At 39.7% G+C, this 25,391-nt stretch overlaps 1 protein-coding gene across 55 annotated transcripts in view, besides 1 other annotated feature; it reads right to left on the bottom strand.

Moving 5' to 3' along the window:
• The window catches only part of MAP4K4 (mitogen-activated protein kinase kinase kinase kinase 4), a 196,984-nt gene that overhangs the window by 18,945 nt on the left and 152,648 nt on the right, over positions 1–25,391 (bottom strand). For 4 of the 55 annotated variants that reach the window (NR_169279.1, NM_001384485.1, NM_001384484.1 and 1 more), the window contains 12 exons: positions 19,608–19,769; positions 16,664–16,750; positions 15,882–16,103; positions 11,695–11,925; positions 10,710–10,816; positions 9,167–9,318; positions 8,437–8,534; positions 7,709–7,717; positions 5,949–6,124; positions 5,331–5,451; positions 1,982–2,099; positions 1,494–1,664 (listed from right to left, as the gene is read on the bottom strand). Coding sequence is in view for 51 of the 55 variants with exons in the window: in NM_001384485.1 (NP_001371414.1) it covers positions 1,494–1,664; positions 1,982–2,099; positions 5,331–5,451; positions 5,949–6,124; positions 7,709–7,717; positions 8,437–8,534; positions 9,167–9,318; positions 10,710–10,816; positions 11,695–11,925; positions 15,882–16,103; positions 16,664–16,750; positions 19,608–19,769 (1,654 nt within the window). In the remaining 4 variants the exon portion in view is untranslated. Of the gene's footprint in view, positions 1–1,493; positions 1,665–1,981; positions 2,100–4,060; positions 4,253–5,330; positions 5,452–5,948; positions 6,125–7,708; positions 7,718–8,436; positions 8,535–9,166; positions 9,319–10,709; positions 10,817–11,694; positions 11,926–14,759; positions 14,922–15,881; positions 16,104–16,663; positions 16,751–19,607; positions 19,770–25,391 lie in introns of all 55 variants that reach the window. The other 51 variants (NR_169281.1, NM_001242560.2, NM_001384558.1 and 48 more) reach the window with 40 other exon arrangements.
• Positions 5,825–6,119: a silencer, noted in NCBI's record as "tiled region #3767; K562 Repressive non-DNase unmatched - State 17:Gen3'". NCBI's record gives its function as "represses a minimal TATA promoter and a strong SV40 promoter by Sharpr-MPRA in K562 cells {active_cell/tissue: K562}" and the evidence as "EXISTENCE:reporter gene assay evidence [ECO:0000049][PMID:27701403]".

Below are 25,391 nucleotides of genomic sequence, written 5' to 3'. Positions count from 1 at the left end.
CAGAATCACCTTTGTAACATGTAGCACAGATGACCCTACATTCCTAGGGAATTGGGCACATATCTGTGTGTACTGATTTCCTCAGTCATAAACTCACCAAGACAAGGAATAAAGTATTTGTGTAGAGGGAGTGAGGCGGAAGAATATCATGGCACATACATGTATGCCCACACCCACCCACACCCTATTTCCAGATAATCTGAAATAAATAATTGTGACGGCATTGAGAGAACAACGCTCCTACAGCCCTCTCTCTGTTCATGCCTGGTCCTTATAGAGTTGATTGAGTTGGGATTATCCCAACATTTGGAGGACAGTATCTACCCAAGCAATGCTTGTGGGCATAGTGACTTAACCCTTAGAGATTAAAAAAAAAAAAATGCTGTACAACTAAAAAGATTATCAGTATAAGAAAAATATTTAAATATGTAATATGTGATTCATTTTCATATAATTTTATTCTTGAGGTTGGCCATTCTGCCCTGACTATATCCTTGTCAAGGTGGAACTTATTTGAATATTATGCTTAGGTTTCCCTGCATATATCTAGGCAAGTTGATCTAAAACAGCTTAGAAATTATTGGTAGAAAAGACAGATATTTATTGATAGAACTGCTGCCAGACAGATACCATTTCAAAGGTTCTATTTTACACAATATTTTGATATTTTCCTGGTCAATCTTCAGTATCAAGTAGATTTTTTTAAACTCCTATGTCAAGAATCTGGTAATAACTACACAAAATATGGGCCTTGTGAAGAAATCCTATTATGTGTGTTTCTAAAAACTAACATATAAACATCAACCTCAAGATTTTACAGTGAGAAAGAATGAGGGAGTAACAAGATAAAGCTGAAGACTCTTTTCAAAACACAAAAGCTGCAGGTATTGTGGCACTTACACTCTATCTTCTACTTCTCCATGATATATTTCCAAGTTGTATAATTGTACAGTTGTATAATTTTATAAAGTACTGAATGCTAATAGTCAAAAGAATAGTCACTGTAAAGTACTTGGAAATTACAAGCATGAAAAATGAAAAACACTGGGTTGCATGTTGCAGTAAGTTTTTATAAATATACTTCTCCAACATTTCCACTGCTAGATATGATTGAATTTTATAGTGAGAACAGTCAACCTCAGGGTTCAGGGGTACAATGTACACTATTGAGTATAATGGGCTGATGGTTACACTAAAAACCCAGACTTCACCACTATACAATATATCCACGTAACAAAACTACTACAAAAATTTGTTTAATAAAAATAAAATGGAGATTAATCATGCCAATATTTGACAGTTAAAATGAGTGCAATCATATACATGTGCCACACCAGTCTGCTAATATACCACTCTGCATATAACAGGAGATGGACATCATAGAAGTCTTCCATCCTGTCTATCCACAAACTATTCAATGCAGTACTTCTCTAGAAGACCAGCCACCACTCAGAACAAAAATGAAAGTGTTGGAGTAGTGGCTAGACACCTACCCCATAAGGCAGCACACAGAATCTCAGAGTTAAACCTCTTCTTGTATTTACGAATCTCCGGGGTGTCACTCTGTGGCCTAGTGTTGGTAGGATTCACATTGACCACTGAGCCTTTCCGGGTAGGATCTTGCCTTATGGCTTCTGGTCTCATCCCATCACAGGAAAATCCCACTGAAACACAATATATTTGAAATTATTTTCTGTACACACACACACTATGCCTGCCTCCCTTCCCCAGTATACTTCAAGTAAATATTCATGTGGTATAACCAACACTTTGTCAAAGAGAAGAAATCTGTAAGCAATGTATATGGAAAAAGGAAATGGACTCTGCATCTCATTGCAAATAAGGCATACAACTGGGATGGGAAGTTTCTGTACCCGAGGTCTGTGCCTGTGAACAACCAGCTACACCTAAGCCACCCAAAAGAGCAACTCAAAGATAAAGTCCCATTTGTCAGCTGCTTTCTTGTTGCTACTGTACTTACCCACAGATGTCACTGTTGTTCCGCTAGATGGAGAAATCTGTAGTAATCTGGGGTCTATAAAAGGTGTAAAGGAGGAGGAAGATTTGTGTTTCTGGAGTGTGCTACTAGCGGACTGAGTCTGCAATGTAAATTTCAATGTTATTAATACAACTGGCATTTTAAAAATGAACATTAAAAATACACATTTCAATTCACTTCTATATTGCACTATTTCCCAATACTTTGCTCTATTTGCCTTGCATCATTCCCCCAAAAAATGCTCTGCGGGGAGCTTCCACGTGGCATAGCACCCCTCAGGGCAGCTTTACCTGGAACCACTGCAGGAGCCGTATCTCTACCAGAGACATTGCTCACTTACAAAGCAGTGCTGCAAGCTACCAATGAAATCTAGACTTCATGTGCCTAGCTTTAAAAAAAAATTAAGTAAATACTTATAATGAAACTCCTAAAGGAGGTCTGAAATGTCTTGATCTCAATTCACCAACTTCTGAATTTATTCTCCTACCCAAGAGTCCAAATAATCTATGCTGGAATATTGGCAATTGTTAATAATTGTAGTTATTTTAAATTGAGCCTCTTGCCAGAAAGCTACAGAAGCTTTGGCTACTGTTGTTTTAGGTGCATCACCATTAAACCCATACCAAATGAGGACTCATTAGTGAAAGGTGCAAATGACAAAAGAAGGCGTATCTTTTTGATCTTTTAGGAGCACTAGTGTTTTGGTTAATAATGTAACTTAAGACAAAAAAACACAAAGGAAGTGAAACAAATTGTTAAGTGGAAATGTAATGACAATTAAAAACAAAACAAACAGAAAAATAAATTTGCCGGTTTAGTGAGTTAAGGGTTATAGTAAAATACTGCACATTAGAGCGAAATGGAGCAAAGTTTAAAATATAAATATAAGGAAGAATGTGAGTGTAGGTGGGATATATACCTCAGGAGAAAAAAGGAACATGTCTGATCAAGTGCTTTTGTCCTGTACCATTGGACCCCCTCCATGGACACCTGAGGGTCACCATGTCCTAGAGCCCATGCCCTCCCCTAAGCTTCCCACCTGAACATCTGTCCCCTGGCAGCTTCCCTCCCTGTCCCATGAGTCAGGAGCCAGTCTAGCCGATGCCAAGCCTGTCTAGGAAGCAGTTGACTTGCCACTGCTCCTCCGGAGGAGAGGATTTTTCTGATTCTTTCTAACCTCCCTCAACTGGTAGATAAAGACACTTAAACCAAATCTTCTGTGGAATCAAATCACTTGTTTAATTCAATACGGGTGCTCAAGTGGGCTATGTCACTACACCTGGAGTATAACCCTGTTCAAAGAGCAAAGAATCACCCAGACTGAGCTAACACCCAGACCGAGCACCACAACCAAGCCTTCAAAGGAGCACACAGATTTCCCACACAAAATTTTAAATTAAAAACAAGCTCAAACCTTTGTCCTTCTTGCTTAACATCCTAATTTTTTCTAGGTTTCCCAAAAATAATTTGGCTTCTAAACCTCTGAGTGATTGTAAATGTCAAAGAACAAACTCCTTAACAGGGTTGGTGAAAACAAGTAAGAGTAATCAGCCAACAACCCACCCCCCAAACAAGAAAAAAAAAAAAAATCAGTTCTGTTTGAAAGAGATTCCTGTACAGGATAATAAGTTTGTCCAGATAAGGCCAAGCCTGCTGAACCGAATCTTCCTATATTTTATTTATTGGATAAAAAGAATGAAAAAGGCAGATTCCACAAATGACTATAAGAATTTCATGCCAAATACATAATACCGGTCTGAGGACAGAGCAATCATTTTATTTAGATTTTTAAAAAATAAACTAGATAAAGCCATGCAACTATACTTATCTACAGAACAGTAAACAGTGAACTGGCAAGTTTGGGGGAGCTGATCTAGGGTTAAGGGGTTTATATGCAGATCTGAAACATGTTACTTGGGGTTGGGGAGAAGGGTAGGTGACAGAGAAAGCAGGGTGGGAAGGGAAGGGGTGAGGGTGTTGGAAAGGTCTCCTTTGCAAACTAACTCCTAGGCAGTGCTGGTCTAACCCCAGGAAAGCAGCCAGCTGTGGTGCGAGACATACCTCATTAGCAGTGAGCTTGTCCTGGGGTGTCTGTGGGGACATGGTGGGTGTCGGCTGGCTGGAGGATGGGGAGGAGGAGGTGGAGGAAGTGGAGGAGGAATGGCTTTGCTGTAAGAGATCTGGCAAGAGGTGAATGCGACCGGCAAAGCCATTGCTCTCATGATGGCTGGCACGCTTTTGGTCAACTGTACTCTGTAGAAAAAACAGGCACACTTGTCTCGCTCAAGCGCTGCTAAAATTGCCTATGGCCCTATTGATAACTGCTTTAAGGTGCTGTGTGACTTATAAACTCTGCTAAATTACCAAGGAAAAACCAAAGAAATTAGCCTGAACTGCTCACACTTCCTCACCAAATGCCTAACTTGTGCCAACAGAATTCAAAGTACCTAATCTGGTGGCTGCACGGCTCGAGCAGTGAGTGTTTAATCTGGTTTATCTGTTGCGCTAGCTTCTGTTACCAAAACCAGTATCCTTTTTTTTTTCTTTTTAAATCTTTCTTTGCAAAGCTCCAGAAAGTACCTGTGGATTCTCTGAATCCTGGTCTTTTCCACATTCTTCCTACTTTCCATCCGAATGCATTGCCATAGCATGAAACACACTTAGGGCAAAGTCCAAAATACTAAATAGGTGCCCTGTTCTATTTAAATGAGAAGCGTATCACTTTAATTAAGTCTAAGCTAAGAAATGAACAGACAGTTATAAAGCTTAGTGATCCAAACTGAGCATATCTGGGTGGCACACATTTAATTATTCAACAAGTGAGAAAACTAACATTTTGGAACATAGAAGAGAAACCTCCCGAACCCTTCTGCTCTCCGAGTCTCTGGGCCTGTGATGAGGCTCGTCCTGCCTGCCTCACCCGCTCCCACTGTGGCACTGCAGACACTCAGAGCCCAGCGTGCTCTGCAGAGCCATGGTGGCTGCTCTGCCAGACTCCAGACCTGCTTCCTCACTCTGTGAGCCTGTTTAAGGACTCCCTGTGGCTTCTCTCCCGCTCAGACATAGACTGTGAGACTCAGCGCGGTGCTTGAATGAGGGCTGCCGCAGACATGCAGAGGAGCAGCGATGTGGGGTGGAGACTACTCGCTACCTTCTGGGCATGCAGTACACACCTGCCTCCCTAGCCCCCGACACTCGACACTTGACCCTCTGGGACTTGTTAACATGAAAACAGATGATGATGGAGAAACAGCATGAGTGAGTGAATGAGCAAGTGGGTTAATGACCACAGGAGAAGCTCAGCCTCTGACAACAGAGAAGACACGGGTACCTGGCGGACGATTAGAGTGCCCTCCTTGGATGGGGTCATGGCCGGCTCACTTTCTACATCATCATGGACAATCATGGTTTTCACAGATTCCGTTTCACCATTGCTCAAATTCAGAGATGACCTATGGAGAAAAAATCCAGACGTGAAAGGCCTTAATCTCTGGAGTCAAGGAGATCCTGTTTAGGCTTTTCGCCTTCTCAAAATCAAAACATGAGATGAGGCTACCGATATAAAGCCTCCTCCAAAAAAGCAACTGCTTAGCTTTCTCCCTTTAACAAAGAATTTCTTTCCAGTGCCATTTGTTTCTGAGCAAAAACTTAGAATGAATAATTATGGCTAATTAAAGTAGTTATACCAAACTGAAATTTCCCCTGGATCATATATCCTCAAATCAAAAGGAAAAAATAAAGTACACGCTGGGGTGCTGGGGGAAGCACTGACATATGCACACACCAACGAAGAGAAGGGGAAACACAAGGCGACCTGCTGCTGAATCCACGAGAACTACATAGTAAGTGCTCATGGGGTCACGGAATAGTCTAGGAACAACTAGGTCCCAGTGGAAAGCAGGCTCTGAGAGAATACTCTCATCCGCTCTAAAAGAGACCGGGGACTGACGCTGCTCTGGTGTCCTCTGGTCCTGAGGTGGACTCGTCAGCCCCTTCCTGCTCCACATCGTCGTCCTCCTCATCCGTCGTCCCCGACTCCTCACTGGATGAGGAGTAGTCCGTTACTTTGTGAGGTGGCCGTACATCTTCCACTGCTCGAAGCTCTTTGGCCAGTGCGGTCAGATCCTAAAGCAAAGGACAGAAAAGAGAGAGTAAGGCAAGCAGGAGCAGGGACAGGAGAAGATGAGAAGTTCTTTAACCATAAATTGCCACAATGTCAGTTTTGTAAGACTTTTATAGTTACCCAGTTTCATGAGAAAGTGAGCTCCTATGGCTTTTGATAGAAAAGACCAAATAAAGTCAAGAGAGAGATTAAAAAAAAAAAATAGAAGACACCAAAAAAAAGTCAAAGATGTCATATACAGTTCAAATCCCATGACAATAAAAAAAAGATCTGCTTATGTTAAGCTGATAGTATTACTGTTGTTTTTTAATATGAGGTAAAATTCTAGATCAACAAATGTATATACACAGACTCTTGGACTTTGTTGTAAGGAGATCTCCCTACATGACAAAGTCTTCTTTAGACTCATAAAAAAGGTTTTGAGAGACACATTTTTATTTTACTTCAACTTTTATTATTAAAAACTTCAAAGCGCTAAGGTTTAATATTTAATGTTTTTATTTACTAGTTATAGGATATTTATGAAATTTTAGTAATAAATATTAATATTTTACTAAAATCAACATTTTAGGTTTAATATTTTATTAATAAAAGTTGTAGAAACATAACTTCCCTCCCAAAACTCTTTAAATCAGGCTTATTTAACTAGAGGCTTGCTTTCTGGACTGACCCCTTTAAAGAAGACTTTGTCATATAGACATGTGTCTTTACACCAAAGCTCAAGGATCTGTGTATATACATTTGTTGATCTAGAATTTTACCTCATACTGAAAAAAAAAAAACTTCAAACCTACATTAAAATGAAAGGAGTGAAGTGAGCACTAGGATGCCACTGACATCTCACTTCACCGACTGTTCACAACCTGCCACATTCATGGACAAGTCTGTGACACATGAAGAGACACTGCGACCCTGAGTGCTGGGGGCAGGAGGCTGTGGGCGTCCCTAACGCCCTCCTTCAAGCCTTACCCACATCACCCTGTGACACCACGTATAAAAGGGAACATCAGAAAGAAATCAATAGTGGAATTTGTTCAAAAGGCTTAGTTTCCCTTTACTCTTCCACACTGAGATACTCTAAGACTCAATCAATCCACCAAATATAATTTTCAAGAGTGATTACTATTTATACTCCACATTTTCATATAAAACTCCAAATTCATCTTTTTTGGGGAATTTTATGTAAAAGTAATCACTTTTTAAAAACGCAGTCTATGTAGCTCTTTCTGTCTTTAATTTCTAGCAGTTCCAACTTGGTTTTCTATTTTCTTCATAGTTGAGAATGTTTCTTTTCTTTGAGCTTGAGCCACTGAAATAACAGTGATGGGCTCTGAGTCTTGCTATTAGTATTTCGTGGTTATAGCTGAAGCTTTTTAAACAGTTACTCAAAAAAGCTACATTTAATAACAATAAATACAGCAAATGTTATGTTAAGAAAACTGGAGTAAAGTTTGAGGTTTTTAAATTCTAGAAAAGAACAAGAAGTCAAGTTGAGGAAGGAGCAGGACCGCAGCTCGAATACAAGCTGAGCTGACAGGCGGTCGGAGTGCTGCTCTGAAGTGGAACTTTTCAGAGATGGCGCTTACCACTTCGCCCTTCAGTACAGCGCAGTTTCGTGGAGTCCGAGAAGCCATCGTTGATGAGGAATGCACAGTACAAGGAAGCGCGGGAGAAAGAAGGGGAGAGGGAGAAGTACAGAAATCAGTTCAAGCAGGAAATGAAAACTCTGACAGGCTTAAAATTCCACAAAGCGTGCACAATTACATGGTCAGGTAACATCAGAGGGATTAAAAGAGAAGGGTGAGAAGCAGTCACAACTATCACCCCAGGTACCAAAAAGCAGAAGGTAGGCAACCAGTGAGTTTAAGAAGGTGATTTTTAAAAACTTAGTCTAAAAGCCAGTATTGTAAATGCTGAACTCACGAAGAATAAGTAAAGGTTAATGCCAAGAAAGAGATAAAAAGGCTTTTCTTTCTTTTGTATTTTTTTTAAAGCATCAGTTTCCTTAGAAGGAAATTTCATTAAATAAGAACTATACTTTGTTCTGCATAATTTTGTAAGGCTGACTGTACACCAAGTGTATGGCTGGAACAACAGAAAAAAGGTTTTACTCACTTGAGACTTTATACAGGGAAAGCAGACGATACCAATGGAAGGGAACAAGTATGTCTGGGGTTTAGGTCATTCCTTATAATTCCTCAAATCTGTGAGGGGCCCTCGCAGAAAAGACTGCAGGCCTCTCAACCACATATTTTTAATAGAAAGATCTCATTCAAGTCTGAAATAAGTAAAACTGATCCTGCACAATCCTTACAGCAGGCTTGAGGGGTCTGAAAACTTCCTTTTTATCTTCAGGTTTTTTCACTGCATTTTCCAGGCGCTGAGATGGAGAGCCTTCAGACTTGGATGATGCTGTTGGGTTCAAAAGGGACAAGATGGACAGACACATATCAACATATGGATGTGTATTATGAAGCTGCCCTGCCCACCCCGCCCACTCCTGTCTGCCCACTCATGGTAGGCTCTCCACCTGCAGGTCTGAATTACAGAGCAGAGGGGGCCCAAGGAGGGCTCCAGCAGCCTTCCTGACTCTTTACTTAAACCCTCCATCATCACACTCACTTTGACACGTGTTCACAATATATACCTTGTCATGGTATGTCAATAATACAGTAGAGGGAATATTCACTCATCTATTATGAGTACATTAAAATAACCAATATTGATGACAGTATAGGCTCTGGAGCCCAGACCGAAAGAAATGGGTTCAAATCCTAGCTCACACATTAGCCAATTACCTTGGGAAAGTTAGTTAATCCCACTAAATTGTAAAGCGCTCACAGTGCTAGGTATATATAAAGCTCTCAAAATTTAGCTCCTTTATGATTAAAATCAGGATGACTATTATTGTCACTAGCAACCTATGCTAAAACATTGTTTTGTGACGTGTGGCTACACGCAAACTACAGATTAAGACAAACTTCCAAGATATGGATCACAGCTCAAAACATTAGCAGGGAAAAAGGAAAGGAAAGGCAGCTTACATCTCACTCTGAAGCGTTCCCCGGAGCCACTCTGAGACCCAGGGTGAGACCCGGGCTGGGATCCTGAGTTGCTGGACCCTGAGGAGCTGCCACTGCCAGGTCTGGGCACCAGCTTCTCCACTCTCTCCCACAGAAGCCTGGGCTCAATACTGCTGTTAGAAAAGAAGAAGAGAGAACAGCTAATGTGTCATCTCTAGATGCAGCACCAAATTACCAACATGTGCATGGTGTGCCCATCCAATGTCTTTAAAGTGTAGGGAGACAAAAAACAGTCTATAAACAGCACTCAACATTAAATTCACCAAAAGATATAATGACATTGTTCATGGATTTTTATCGATTTTTAGTTTGTATGCTAAATGATATCCTACCATTAGTAGATCTAAAATCATCAGGTGTGAGATACAATGCTACTGTTCAGTGTAGAAGCAGCACCATTTCTGTCACAGCTACAAGTCAGTTCTTAATATTAGGAAAACACTCCGTATTTGTATAATTATACACAAAACTATATTCTGTTTCTAGGCTGCTGCTCTCACCTGCCTGTTACTGTTCTCAAAAACTGACACTTACAAAGAATAGTCCTTTGTATGGGCTGTTGGAAACGGTACAGAAAGCATGAGCTGGGATGGATTTCCTGCCATGGATGGACCCAAAGCACACATGTGCTAGGTAAGAATTAATGACACAGACTTGGTCAGGGAAGAACACCACAGTCCCCCTGCCATTAGCAGTGCTGAGGATTCTGTGCAGCTTTTGGGCTATCATCCATCTGACACCTCAAGTCAGACCAAGGTTCCATGCGCAGAAGGCTAACTTTAGAGGTTCAGTGATGATCAAGATATAAAACATTCAACATAATCATCTTTTCTTCCCTATGATAGTGCTGGTCAATGAAGCGTTCTGTTATGATGAAAATGTTCTATATTTGAGCTGGATAATATCATAGCCACTAGCTATATGTGGCTATAGAGCTCATGAATATACCCAGTGCACTAAGGAATGAAGTTTCCACTGTATTTCATTTTAACTAAACTTAAACTTTAATTTAAATATAAGGAAGCTTCTGTAGCTAATCGTACTGGACAGAGCAGCTCTAGAACCTAAAAAGGATAGTATTTGGTGAATTCACTTGTTTACTGCAGACTGTGAAGTCAACCAGTGACTTCTTTAGTAACCTGTTTGTGATTTCTGTTTTATGCCACAGGCCTTACAACATCCCTTAGATGAAAAGCTCCCCCCGATCACAATTCTCTTAGAACTTCTCCCCCTTCCTTGCTGCTCCCTCCATTTACTCTTACAGAGAAAAGTAGTTTAAATTTCAGAGTTGCTATAATACACATCCGGATTCAAACCCACTTTTTACTACACATCAACTTGATGCCATCCACGTTGATGGATTTTATGGCAGCTTTTCCTTTTATAACTGATAATCTCTTAGCCCCAGAACGTCTGTGTTTAAGAGCATTTTTATGAAACAGACAATGTAAGGCTGTGGTAGACTGCACAGAAGGCCTGTTCTCAGTGCTCACTTGTCTTTTACCTGGTGGAGTTTCTCTGTCCTGCCTGGCTATTCTGCTGCCCACTGCCCTGCAGTGGGGAATCTCGACGGGACAGAACAGGGGAGCGAGATGTTGTTCTCACAGGAACCTTTAAGTAGAAAATATAGCAATTAAATTATTGAAAACATGAAAAGGAAAAAAAATACTTCCCTACCAAAATATATTTTTAAAGCAGTCCTAATATTTAAAAGCAGTCCTTCCTATCACCTCCACTCCCCACCCCAACTCCTTCCCTGGTCCTACACTGATACAATCGGAGAGAAAATTTAGTCACAAGCATCCAAGAAGCCAGTACAAACAGGCTTTCTATGCTCCTGTAACATTTAAATGATGTTTGGACTGAAGCTTGGTAGCAGGGACATACAAAGCATTTGCTGAGATAATGTGAGAATCAGGAAAATAAGCTCAAAGAAACCAAACAATGGTCTATAAATGGATCAGCAGGAAGCAAAGACTAGCAGGAAGCAAGAAAATATTCAGAGGAAGCAAATTCCAAATGAGGAAAAATAAATTGACATGGGCTCCTTTGTTTAATTTCACTATTATGTAAACACAAAAACAAAACAAAATCCCCTACATTTAAAAAGAAAATAAAATTTTTCTTATAGGACTTTTTCTAAAAATTTTGACATTAATATTGCAAAACTGCATAGCTTCTGTATAAACATATAAAAAACTGCTAAAATAGATTATGAATTTGTTTAAGAAGCCTATTCTTTGTAGACTTACTCTTACATCATTTTGCTACCTTATTTAGGGTTAACAAAAATAAAACGCTAACTGACCACTGGCTAAACAGAATTGCCTAACTATGGAACTTTATCCTCACCAGTAAAAAGTCCCTTTGAAATTTCAATGCCCCTTTAAATTTGGTCAAGTTGCATACCCATAATTAAAATAAATAATCTTTAAAAAAAAATAACAAAAAGGAAAAAAGCAGCACACATCTGTCTTTCTGCTCCTTACCCTTGGAGGCACCTCGTCACTGTCTGATCTAGACCAAGCCTTTTGGGTAGGGTCAGGCGCCTCTGACTTAGAGTCAGAGCTCTGACTGAGCACCTCACTGCGGGAAGGTGGACATGGGTCCTGAGAACGAAGATGGTGGTGTGCAAATTTGGGAGAAGGGTCACTGAAGGAATGGGATCGCGAGACAGGGGAAACATTGTTCTTGAGAGATGCCAGGTGGGACCACTGTACCTTACAAGAAAACAAAACACAAAACATTCAATGCGTTCTGCATAAAACTGGCTTTTCTGGTCAATACCAAATCCAAAGCAGGAACTGGCAGAGGCGGAATACACACCGGGGTGGTACAGTGTTAGGTCAGCCACGCAGTGAAACAGTTACACTTCAAAGTGAAGAAGTGGTCTGGGAACACAGTATGTAGAAAAGAACAAATGTACATTTACAAGGAAAACTCTTTTTAATATCCAGACAAACATTACAGATAGCAGTTAATGTGAAGATTTTTATTTTTTTTTTCCCCACAAAGAGGCTCTCAGAGCCCAAAGGGGTTATGATGTGTTGCATGCACATCCATGTCAAAGCAGAGACTGGAAAGGCAGAGAGAGGCAGAAAAATTGTAAGATAAAGCGCACTGCCAAATGTGCAAACCTACCTAGCCATCCTCACATTACCTGCAGTGTCACATTTTACACCAGAGCGAGTAACAAAATGGCACGTTCAACGAGCAAAGACAAACCCCACGTTTTGAGACTATAATATCTCAAGAACAGCTAATTTTTCAAATATACCAACAATTTTTCTTATTTTTCCCAAGTCTACAAACACCCATAACCCAGGTATCTCCATATACTTTCATATTAGTGATGAAAATAAAGAATTGTGATTTCTTTAAAAATATTCAGTACCATGGATTCCCTGAATTGACTATTGTTGGGGTATTCCTTCCACTTGGGAAATTACAAAAATATGACAATTACTTGTCAACTGAGTTTATCTGGTTGCTTCTAAATTGGGAAAATGATCTCTGAAAAAATCCATAAAATATTTTCATTAAATTATGTTTTACTGTTCTAAAATGATTGTTCAATATGGCAACTGAAAAAATGATAGCTACATATCTATTACATCAATGTACTTGACATAAACTGAAAATACTGAATCAATTTGTTCAACCTTTCCAAATACAAGATGTGAAATTAGTTCTATTGTATGATTTCTACAATATACAGGTGAGATTTGTATAATACCAGATATTGGTATAATCCTAGACTTCTAAAATGTTTAAGATTTTCAGAGATAAAGCATGTAATTCAAAGTATTACCTGAAATTATAATCAAAAATGAGTTTTAAAATAGAGTCCTACACGAGAAAAGTCTCCCCCAAAGAATGAACAGGAGGAGGAAATGGGAGACTCTTTCTAGTTACTACACAAATTCATAACAAATGCAAAAATTAGATAATTCAGAAACTCCTATTTTCTAAACTATTAGTGGCCAAAGATTGTCCATTTATGCGAAGTTTAACTTGCAGTGTGAAAACTTTTAATCTTCAAGCAGTGCAAAGTTGCTAAAGAACACGAGTCCTCAGACCTATTCTAGTAGTCTCTCTTCTCATCCTCTTTTAATTGTGTCCAGTTACCCTCTCCTGCTTTCCTCTTTCCTTTCTATCCTCTCCTCTCTGGAGCTACCCATCTGCTAGCTCTCCTGGGACTCAAAAAACTGCTGGTCCCATGGAAATACCCACTCACCCTCACACAGCCCTGGCCTCAGTCCTAGCTGTTCCTTTTTTTTTTTTTTTTTTTTTTTTTTTTAAGATGGAGTCTCACTCTGTCACTCAGGCTGGCATGCAGTAGCACTATCTCAGCTCACTGCAAGCTGCAAACTCCACTCCTGGGTTCAAGTTATTCTCCTGCCTCAGCCTCCTGAGTAGCTGGGATTACAGGTGCCTGCCACCACACCCGGCTGATTTTTATATTTTTAGCAGAAATGGGGTTTTGCCAGGTTGGCCAGGCTGGTCTCGAACTCCTGACCTCAGGTGATCTGCCTGCCTCGGCCTCCCAAAGTGCTGGGATTTCAGGCACGTGCCACTGTGCCCCAGCCCTTTTTTTTTTTTTTTTAACTCCTCCATGCTGCAGATCCCACAGTTTCCTGCCACAAGAACATAAACTTTTGTCCCCCACACATGCAAACACCAGTGAAAAGTAAACTCGAGTTTAAGAACTTGTTCCTAATATTCTGGATTACAGAGTGGCAAGCGGGAAAATATCTAAAAGTCAGTAGTTTTCAGCAAGAGATTAGGAATCGGCATTTTAAGGATCTCTAAGATCTTTAGCCATGATCTTCGTTGCTTGTTCTCCTCTATGGACAGCACTGTGGGTTCTGCTCCAGCCACACAGCATCGGCCCAACAGTTCCCCTCACCTAGCCAAGGCTAGAACGCTGCAGCAGACCCAAGGAGAGGTCACAGCCTTTTCCCTGGCCTATTTCAGAGAAATCCACACCTAACCCACTAGATCTAAACTTTTTTGGATCTTGAACCCTGTGAGAATCTGATAAAAGGTCATTCCCCCCACCCCCACAAAAAATACACATTTGAGCAAATAAAGACATTTTGCATGCAATTTCAGGGGCATCATCTAAGGCCCATTCATAGGACTGGCCAAGAGCCAGGGCTCACACAGTAAAGCGCTTACTTTTAAAATACTTCAAAGAAAATTCCTGGCTCTCCCTCTATGTATTTATAATCCCAGTTCTCTAAAAACTAAACTAAAAGATCTTTGTATCAGAAAAAGGAGGCACTTAACACCTGAGTTAGGGAAGGCAAAAAGTTAGAAGAAATCACTCACTCTAGATACTCTTAATGAGTACATAGAAATCTCAAAAAGAAAGAAAAAGATATTTCCCTATCAACTGAGTCTATGCCTTCTTTTAGTCTAAACTCACTCCTGCTAATCTCTCCTCTTTTTCAGTGTGGTGACAAACTAAACTGTGATATTACAGCAGGCCTGCGGCTCAGCGAGCCGTTGCATGAGTCTCCTCAACCACAGCAAAGCTGGCTGTCGCTACCTGTGGCTCCGCTGGTCTCTGCAGGGCGGGATGCACAGACTCGGAGTTGCCATTGGAAAAAGACTCTGATCGGGAAGGCACTGGTGGCTCCAATACTCTGCCTGTCTGCTTAGACTGGGCTTCAGGGGAGCTGTGGTTAGTTTTCCTAAATCTATCTTCCACCTGCATCAGAGAATTAGAAGACATAACTCAGTGTTAGTAGGGGAAAAGCAGAAATATCAAAGAAAGTCTAAAAGTGGAAGAAATCTAAAGGTAAGTTTTCTGTTTTCTTCTGCTACCAGAAAAGAGAGGGGTAGCTGGAAAAAAGAAGGTACATAAAGCAGTGCTAGGATTAGATTCAGGAAAAAGAAAATATTTATGAAGATAAAAATTAGCAAGGCAGTCTCTAAGCTCTCCTCCTTGCTCAGAATTCTAAGACTGTATATGATGATGAAGTAGAAAAAAATTAATCTGTCACAAGCAACTAAACCAACAGACTAAAAAACTATCATCAGAAATCCGGAATGCATTTCACTCCACCAAATATAAAAGCACTCCAGAACAAACAGAACACTTGTTTCTAGAATCTACTGCCTGTGAGGGCAGACACAATAGAAGGCTGCTGCCACCTGTGGGCCGGGATTCAACACCTCTGGAGGCACACCTGTCGCCCATCTTGCACCCCCGAGCAGTCCCTGCCGCAGCCTACTCTGAGGCTCTGGGTAACCCTAATGCACCAATCTAGCAGGGCATCTTGACATCTGCAAAGTCAGAAAGTTGAGCCACAGGCACACTTTAGCTTTATACTAGCTTGGCAGAATAGTTCATCAGACCACTCTTTCCCTCATCCACATTTTTAAGAGTGACTGTGTCATGTAATCTTTTAGTTTAGTTCAGTTTCAAGTTCTTCTGGGATATGTTAACTGAGGCACTCTGGTCCTTTATGGAAAAAGCACTGACTGAATATGAAACCTTGGGCAAGGCCCTCCACTCCTCTGAAATTCAATTTCCTAGTTAGAAAATGAAGAAACCAGATAATTAGCTAAACTCTATGGCCCGTTCTAGAACTCATATGACACAGTTCTGAAGAGTCGTTATACGACTTTCCAGGGCAATGTCTAAGTGACAAAGGAAAGAGGATACCTCTCGCGCTCGGTCAGCAGGCTCGTAGTGGGCTTTGGGCTCGGGAGCATGGAAGCTTGGCTTGCTCCTTTCCTGCTGCGGTGGTGGCGGCTGCTGCGAGTGCTGCGGGTGCGGCCTCCTATGGTCATGCTGTAGAGACAGGAGATATGCTTGTTCTTGTTGCAACTGCCTCTGGAGCCTCTCTGCCTGCCGGTGCTCCTCCATCTCCCGCCATCGGCACTCCTTGGAGAGGGAGAGGATAACACTAAATCTATGGGACACTGGAGAGCTCGCCTCTTCTCTGGATTTGTTCGGCTTTTAAAAAAAGTGACCATATATTTTCCCTCTGTGTTTTGTAAGAAAGCAAAATGGCTGGGATTTTAAATAGCACATTACCTGTGGAAAAATCTCACAGCTGTTGCTAACCATAATTATCATTGGACAGAGTAAGAGATAATTCAATTAAATGTGAGTTTTAGTGGTATAGATACTAGGTAAAAATCCTGTGACATGTGCTTTCAACCTACTGCCCTCAGCATTCTAGTGTGTTCACTGAGTGCCAAGTTCTGTTCAAAACCTTGTTGGTCTACCAAACAAGAACAATTAACTTATTAAAGAGATATAAATAAATAAAGACCATGTTGCAATGTGCTAGCAATAGGACCACAAAATGGGCATCACTATTTCAGCCTGGCTGCCCACAGCAAAACCAAAATGGTCTGGTGACCACCACAGCTTGCTCAACTTTGGGGACGGATGAAGGAGCCCTGATGCTACAGAATGAAACAGAGGCGGGGCTTTACCAGTAACATGGCCTGCTCCTGGAGCAGCTGCTGCTGAAGGACTTCCAAGTGCCGCTGCTCCTCTTCTAGCTGTCGCCTGATATACTCCTGTCACACAGAAATCACCCAGCAATCAAATTATCCCAAAGAAAAGCATCAGAACCACCTGAATGGAGCACCAAGAACCATTTGCTCCAATCACCTTTAGTGACAATTCACTTAGTGGTAAATACCTGAAGAAAATCTATTGCTAAAGATTTCTCCAAGAACTTCAAATTGGCCAGTAAGACCTAAGGAGTCTAACAAATGATGATATGCATTCCCATAATATACACGAAGGGATCTAAGAGTACTTCTGTTAGAACACAGCTGTTGTAAACAAATACAGAATTTTAAAACAGTATGCCATTCCTCTTAAGGTTGGTAAACCCCAGAGAAATCAAGATTTTAATTAAAAAGTATCAGAGGGTTCTGATTAGTAAACATCTGCTTATTAGTCATTATTTGTAACAAGCACAGATCACCAATTTTTGAAACCTAAAACCAAAACCTGCTTAATAATAAAATACAACAAACATGATTCATGCTTTCACTAACAATTCCAAAGGCACCTGGAATGACTACATTCCAGACTTGGGCAACTCTCCTCAAATGAACAGACCCAGGCTCCATGATGAGCTTGTGTGTGTGTGACAGACAGAGACAGACAAGGACAAGGGGAGAGAAAGACAGCAGGAAGTGAGGATGGGGTGGTTTTTCTTTTCAATGAGAAGAGAATGATTAGTCATTATAACAATGAAAACAAGTAAACACATCCCAAATATGTTATAGAGAGGGGTAAAACCCTACTTCAAAGCTGCATGCGTATTATAAAGGACAGGGATACCAGGAGGCCTCAGTCCCTGTTCCACTGAGGACTGGCTCTATGATCCCTAGCATGCTCTAAAGCTCCCCTTTTCTCAGTCTCCTCATTTGAGAAATGAGCATCCAAAATCTCCTCTCCCAACCCTCAGGAATTTTTGTAAGGTTCAGACATGAGATTGATATGAAATAACCTTGAAAAGCATAAAACATTTTACAAGCCAAAGAGGCTTCCTTTTTTTGGACAGGGAAAAAAGCTCTAGAAGAGGAATAGACTAAGAAGGACTACGAGGAGACATTTTATCCTGAAATTCAGATTCCCTTTTAAGAGTGTCTACTGCTGACCATCCCCTTGTGTCATGGTGCACACCTTGAAACAAAAATAGCCATCAATATGGGCTGAACAGAAGTTTTAGTTAACCAATATCTCTGGGAGAATATTGAAATTACAGCATATAAAAATCCTTAGAAAACCTTACTTTACAAAGAAAACTGAGCCAAAAAAGCCAACTGGGGGGGTGTGGGCAGAGGGGTGGGGCGGACTTAGTCAGAAGGCTACTGACAAACATATCTGGTTCTGACCTGGGATCTACGTCTCTTGTGTCTATGTCTGACCCTCCATGGTACATGCTACAGCAATACCTACCCTAGCAAGGCTTGTGGCCTTAACCCAACTGTGACGGAGCAAAGGAACCTGACTTTCAACTCATTTTCTTTTTTGAACAAAACAGAATTAAATCTTAACTCGAAAGATCAAGTCAGTACACTCATTTGTTTTCTGCCCTCAACACAGGGACAGCTGGAAAAATCATGTCCTCTCCAAACCACAAAGGTCCTAACACATAGTCAATGAACAAACAATACACAACACGCATCTACACAAACATACACACTTATGCTGAAATGAAATGCGTCCTACAGCACTGTTAACATGGGAATTACTATTTCACAATAGAACAGGGAAAAACAGAATAAAACCGATTTTAGAATTTTTTTTTTTAAAAGTGGTGCCAAATACTTGCTATTCACAAAATTTAATGACTGCCACTAGAGCATTAAAGATGAATTGCTACCATCACACCCTCCTCTCATGATCGAACTGTAATCATTATTTCTAGGTGATTTAATTCTTAAAAGCTTGAATGTTTTCCTCTTTGCAGACCCCAGGTATAAACATAAGTGGAATGTTAAAGCACACGCGCTACACAGTTAAATGGTTGACAACGTCAATTAGGTAACATAAAAAGCGTCACTGAAATTCCTGGGAAAACACCGAGGAGCATGCAGACCCAAGCTTAGAAAGCCCAAGACACATGATAAGCATAAAGGACGGCAGCTGAACAGTCACATTTGAAAGTTAACACCATGGTTTATAAGTTTAAAATACAGATACCAAGTGCTATTTAAATTGGTCCTCACATATCATTTTTTTCTTTATTCCAAGCTCATAACAAAGAGATCAATTCAAAGACAAGAAAGGCAAAGGGGCTAAGGGCAAATTGTATTTGTACAGGTGGTTCAGGAAACAAAAAAATAATTCTAAATAAAATCATACCTGACATTAATAAAATGCTGCAAATATTATTAAAACCTGATCTTTTTTGGTTGAACTCATCAATGTTAGTTTTTTTAATGTGCTGTGTATATACAGAATTACATGCTGATATATATTACAGTATTCACTTAGCCACTGGATATTCAAATATTTCTCCTAAGAAATTTCTTACTGTTGGTTTTTAATTTCATTTTTTTTTTAAAAGTTAATTATCACCCATATATTTGGGGTCTACAGCATTTAAGCCAAGCCTGAGAAGATACATGCAGACATCTTTCAGGTATTATACTATTTAGAGACCACTTAACTGGTTTCAACAGGTTCCTAAAGTGTAATGATTTATAAACCCTTTTTAAGACAAGAGACTGAATTTATTGGTGTCATTCCAACTGTGTTTCACCACGTTCATACATCTGAAGTTCTAAGTATATGTGTATGTGTGTACATGTGTGTATGCATCACATGTGTGTATACTTTCTAAAAATCCCCCAGCTCTGCAAAGTAACAAACTTCACAAGTGTATGCCTGCTATGTTATCTGTGAACTAACCTGTTCTCTTTCAACTCTCCTCTTTTCTTCTTCTGCCCGTCTCCTCTCCTCTTCTTCTTTGCGCCTTCTCTCCAACTCCTCTAGACGCCTCTTTTCTTCTTGTTCTCTCCTTCGCTGTTCACGTTCCTGCTGCCTTCTAGCTTCCCGCTCTCTCCTTTGTTGCTACGTAAGTAAAAATGTATAATTACCAGGGATCTTCCCGCCATCTTTCTCATGATGTTATAGTGTGCTGATCAGTCAGTGCCAGGTGGACACTAATGAGGTGAGGTTCATGGGCCCCATATCTACTGGCCAATTATTTCCACACTGCCCCTCGGACCCATAAGTAAGGGCTTCTTCATGAATGCTGGTCAAAAGTATTGTGACTCTGTGAATCCTTATAGGGTTTAGTTTCATTTTGATAACAATTATTCCCCACTGCTCACTGCACCACAGCAATTAGGGGACAGAAAATTCTTTATTCGTGGATATCATTAACAGGGTTATGCAGGACCCTTAAGTCAGAAGAAAAATACATTAAGAGAAAGAAATAAAGGGAAATAGAAATACAGCAAAGACAGACAAAGAATTTAAAAAAGGAAAAAAAGAAGCACACATCAGGAAAAGAGGAACTGACGTCAACAAGAATAACCAGGACCATTATTATTAATATAAGTATTTCAGAAACTGCTACTGAGCAAATGCTTACTACTATGTGCCTGGCACTATGCTAAGTATTTGATATTTCTATTCCACTTACTTTACCTAATATAATTCTCCTAACAACCCAAGGAAGTCATTATTTCATCCCTGCTTTACAGATGCGAAAGCAGGTTCAGAAAAGGTAAGTGACTTGCCCAAAGTCACACAGCCAGCAAGCCCCCAGCTGGAAGAGCTGCTCTGCCTCTACGGCCCATACATACTCTTAACCACCCTCTACCCTGCATCCCATCAACAGGTGTAAAAGGTGCTACTGAATCACCAGACTCACTCAGCCTTTCTAAATCCAGACTGTTCTATGTAACCCTACAGAACAGAGCAAGATGACATGCCAGGCACGTGATGACAACTCACTCTTCTAGCTCAAGGCTGTCTGCCAGTAAAGCACAAGCTAGACTCTGGACTCTCTGGGATAATAAAAATGTTCTGTCTCTGCACTGCTCCGTAGTCACTAGTCACGTGTTGCTAATGAGCACCTGAAATATAGCTAGCATGAATGAAAAACTGAGTTTTTAATTTTGTTGCACTGAAGTTAATTTTAATTTAAATGGCCAAATGTGGCTAGTGGCTACTGGGTAGCAGCAACTCTAGGGGATGCACAGCCATCAAATTTCCCAGACACAGAGAGCCAATAATATTAACACAAACTTTATTTGTGACACTAAAATTAACCATTAAACAAGAAAGCTTAGGGTAAAGCTATCAGGGATGTTAGACATATTTATAATGGATACACAAAGTACATATTTATTATAGTTTAAGTATTCCTTCTGGGTCTTCCCACCACTCTCAACTAGTATTTAATCTGAAAGCCAACACTTAAAAATGATGCCCTAAGAAATGTAAAGTAGTATCTTTCATCTGGAATAACTGGATAGCAACGATGATTTGGTAGTCCAGTCTCTCTCACCTGACTACTACACCCCCATTATTCTCAGTGAAGTTCTGAGTCTGCTTTTGGTTCCGCCTCTCTCATTATCTAGGTTTTCAATGGGGGAATCTCCTTTTCCCCCATTCTCTGCTCTTCGAATTCAATACACAAAACTCATCAGCTTCCCATGGGTGGAGATGGGGTCATAAAATGAATGATGCTCCTGCTCTAGTATCTAAAAACTACAACTTTAATGGCTATGCCATCTTTATTTATCAAGGTGTTATTACTCATCTCACTTTTTGTTTGTTCCACCGGGTTTCTATGGACCTATCACAAATAATCTATAAAGTCTCTTGCACTACCATAACACTCCTTTCAACACAGTTGAAGAAATCAGGTATTCTTTCTTTATTTTTGGAGACTGACTGTTTTCCAGTCATCCTATATTTCTGTCCACAAACTTCCCGGGAATCCTTGTCATCTTCTTTCTTACTTTGCTGGAACACATCCTCCAGCAGCTTCTTGAGGAAGAGAGAAGAAGAGGCAAAACGAAACAAAATCAAACAAAAAAATCTCTGGGAACTTTGCAAAATTGTTATTTACCCTAACATGTTACACACAATTTCCGCTGAAGAAAATTAACATTCCCTCCAAGTTTTGAAGGCAGTGCTATGTCATCTTCTAGTTTCTGATGTTGCTCCTAGAGATTCTGAGACCATTCAGATTCTTGATACTTAGTACAGGACCCATTCCACACTCTTCTACCTGCTCCCAACTTCAGCTTCTAGGATCCTCTTTTCATCCTCAATATTCTAAAGATGATGATGTATGTATATATGTATGTATGTGCACATACACGATAATGTATGTGCCTTTGTGTGAGCCCTTTCTCATTCATGTGCTGGGTATTCAGCGAGGCTTTCAATCCAGAAACTCGTACTTCTTAGTTCCAGAAATTTTGCTTAAATTATTCCTGTATGTTCTTTCTGTAGTATTCACTTCCTAGAGCATCTATTAAATAGAAGTTGGACATCCTGGATTGATTCTGTAAGTTTTCCTTGTGTCCTATTATCCACCAACTTGTCTTTTCTTCCCCACTGTCTAGGAGTGTTCATTAAAAGAAAAAAACTCAAAAATTCCTTCTTAATTTCTGAGTATTCTTGTTCCATAAATACAGTATCTTCTCTTTCCAAGGATAAGGTCTTGTGTCTGTTCGTGTGTATATGTATATATGTAGGAGATGCTTTGCTCTGTTCCCCCACTGTCTCTATATCCTTCGAGTTCTTTTTCCTATTTGTTTCCAAAATCTTTCATGGTAGAGATTTTTCTCAGTGTCTGGTAATCTTGGCTGTCCATTTACATTTAAGATTCTAAAATGCAAACTATAAGGACTGTATAGACAAACAGCACCTGGCAACTACTTAGCAACAGAGTAAGGTGATTATGATTCACCCTGATCATTTCACTTGGGGCCTTATTTCCTTTGGGCTGATCAGTTATCTCCAGAGAGAAATCGTCACAATATTCTGGGAATCCTTCCAATATCCTACGGGGTTGAGGAAAGGGTGCATGAAAAAGATACAGCATTTGTAATAAGTGTGTCTGCCACCATTTTGGGAGCTGAGTGAAGTGAGCATGCTTGCAGTCACACTGATTAGTATTTACATTTTCACTTAATGCCCTTGTTTTAGTTCATCTTTCACCACATACTCAGTTTTTTCCCCTGTCTCTGTTGTTCACTTTTCCCAGGTAGCATATATCTGCACCTGCTGGGGGCAGGGGATGCTCAGTACACAAGCTGCACAAGACAGGGTAGTCTAACTGTGCATGTTCACACGTGTGCATACTCTCTCTGTATATATGTACATATAATGTCAACATAATTACATTTTATTCAACTAATAAAAATGTATAAATTTAATTCAAAATACACTATCAAAGAAAAAATAGCAAGCAAACAACATCTTACAAACAGGATACGCTATATAAAAAGTTCAACTTCAACCGAAACCTTCTGAGAGGGTTTTTCTTTTTTAATTTCAGGTGATACTACTATACCTTTGGTTACTAGATCAACACAAAAGAGACTCCAAACGTCTTGAAAGCAGGAACCATGTCTTATCTCCTTTTTTCCCCCTATAGTAAATATCACACATTACCTTCAGAAGAGAAATTCAATACTTTTTTATTTGAATCTAACCTTTATACCTAGCATATGACATCTTAACAGAAACTGCTGTGAATTTACCCAACGCTTAGCATTTAGAGTGATGACAGACTCAGGAATCCATTTAGGTCTCTAGGTCCTACGAAATCCAATCAAATCCTAAGGCAATCTTTTCAAGATCACCAAGTAAGAGCACGAAGTCTTGAGATTTAATTATTACTCTGGGTAGTGCCTCATACTAATAAAAACAAAAAAAAAAAACACCTCCTTTATGCCTCCAGATATTGTATAAGGTCCTCTAAAGTACTCACTCTAAGGTACCTCTGGTACTCAAATTAGAGCTCTCAAGCCCAAGGGTTCATTTTCACATAGGCTTAAATTTGAATGAGCCCTTCCTTTCCAGAGATACACACAAGACTACAAACAACTAATCCATCTATTTGAGAAATACTTATTAAGCACCACAGATATACAAAGATGAATTAGAAACAGCTCCTTTCCTCCAAATCTTGCAGGTTAGGTGAGTCACATACCTTTAAAAAAACGTAGAAGACAATGTGGAAAGTGGTAAATCTCCCAAGACTATCCCACTAAGCAAGTCCTGGTTAGTGGGACCAAATAGTTAAGAACAATAGCTAAGGCAAAAAAAAAAAAAAAAAAAAAAAAAAAAAAAAGAGGACAGTTACCAACTTCTCTTCCACATTATATTCTAATAGTTGAAGTGGTAAACTAGATCGAGAGCAAGAATTTAAACTACCAACCATAAAAACCACTACATTCAGAATAGGCCCTCAATTTGGAGGTAGCTGGGGGCACTAAGAGGAATCATTAAAAAATTAAGAAAGTCCTTAATATCTTAATAGGTAATGTGAAAAGCTGGCCTCTTGCATTAGAACTTCAAAAGAAAATATCAAAAACTGAAACATACACACCATCAACAAAATAACATCAGTCTGTACTGTTAACCTTATGCCTATGATTGCAAATAACAAAGCCCAGGGAATTTTAATGAACATGCTTCTTCAGGCTTACCCAACTAAGAATGATAAACATGATACAATCTTTTGAAGCTTTTACAAACTGATGTAATTTATTTTCTTAAATTATCCTTTCTTTAAAAATAAAATCAAACAGACAGAAAAACTGTGTGATGTCCTAACGTGATCATCAAATCTCTCAAACTACAGAGATTTTATTACTTAAATTTTCCCAAGCGTGCCTAAGTAAATATGTACTTGTCCAACTAAGCTTTAATTATCTAAGTTCCTATTCTAGTTTGGTATTTAAAAGCAAAGCTTTCATCTCACAATTCTAAAAACTTTTCTAAATAAAATTACACTAGTAATAGTGAGATCTAGTTAAATATACTCCACTGGATTTACTGGCTTCAGTGGAAACTAACATATTTTGATAAACTAGTTAATTCTTTGGACTGCTATTTCCAAGAACTTCTGCGGTCATGTTACTACACAGATATACCATCAACCCCTGAGTTTTTTTATTTGTAAGTTCTGATGAAGCTACAGTGGAGAACTATTCATTTCTTCCCCATCTTTAGGTAATAAATCACGTATGAGGAATTAAACTCGCTACAAAATTTAACTGCAAATATAACCAAATGCCAGACTGGGATGCCAAGAGAATATTTAAGAACTTATGAGGAGTTCTTAAATGCAAGCCAGCCACCTTCTGCATACCAACTGAGCTGCTAGCTTGACAGGAAGCAAGGCCTTAGCTGTAGGGGCACTGGCATGCCAGGACACTATGATTACTGTGTGTATTAAAGCTGGAACTATTTTTTTAAGAAAGGTAGCATGTGCTAACATGTACTCCTAATGTTAGATACTAATGGCTTGCAAAACAAAGACCTTTTCTGTAGGAAAGGAGGAGTGAGAAAATGGTTGTTATTTCTTTAAAATACACAGCAACTGCTGGAAAGTGCTTCAGAATAAAGGAGTTCACTGCCTTCCTTCTAAATTTCGGAACCAAGAAACACATAATGCATGCATGGCACAGTTTATTAATTTTTTACTGAGAAACTTTT

Source organism: Homo sapiens, chromosome 2 (genome assembly GCF_000001405.40).
Source record: "Homo sapiens chromosome 2, GRCh38.p14 Primary Assembly".
NCBI classification, from domain to species: domain Eukaryota; kingdom Metazoa; phylum Chordata; class Mammalia; order Primates; family Hominidae; genus Homo; species Homo sapiens.
The sequence above is the reverse complement of the archived record's forward strand: the minus strand, read 5'-3'. Positions and strand labels throughout refer to the sequence as shown.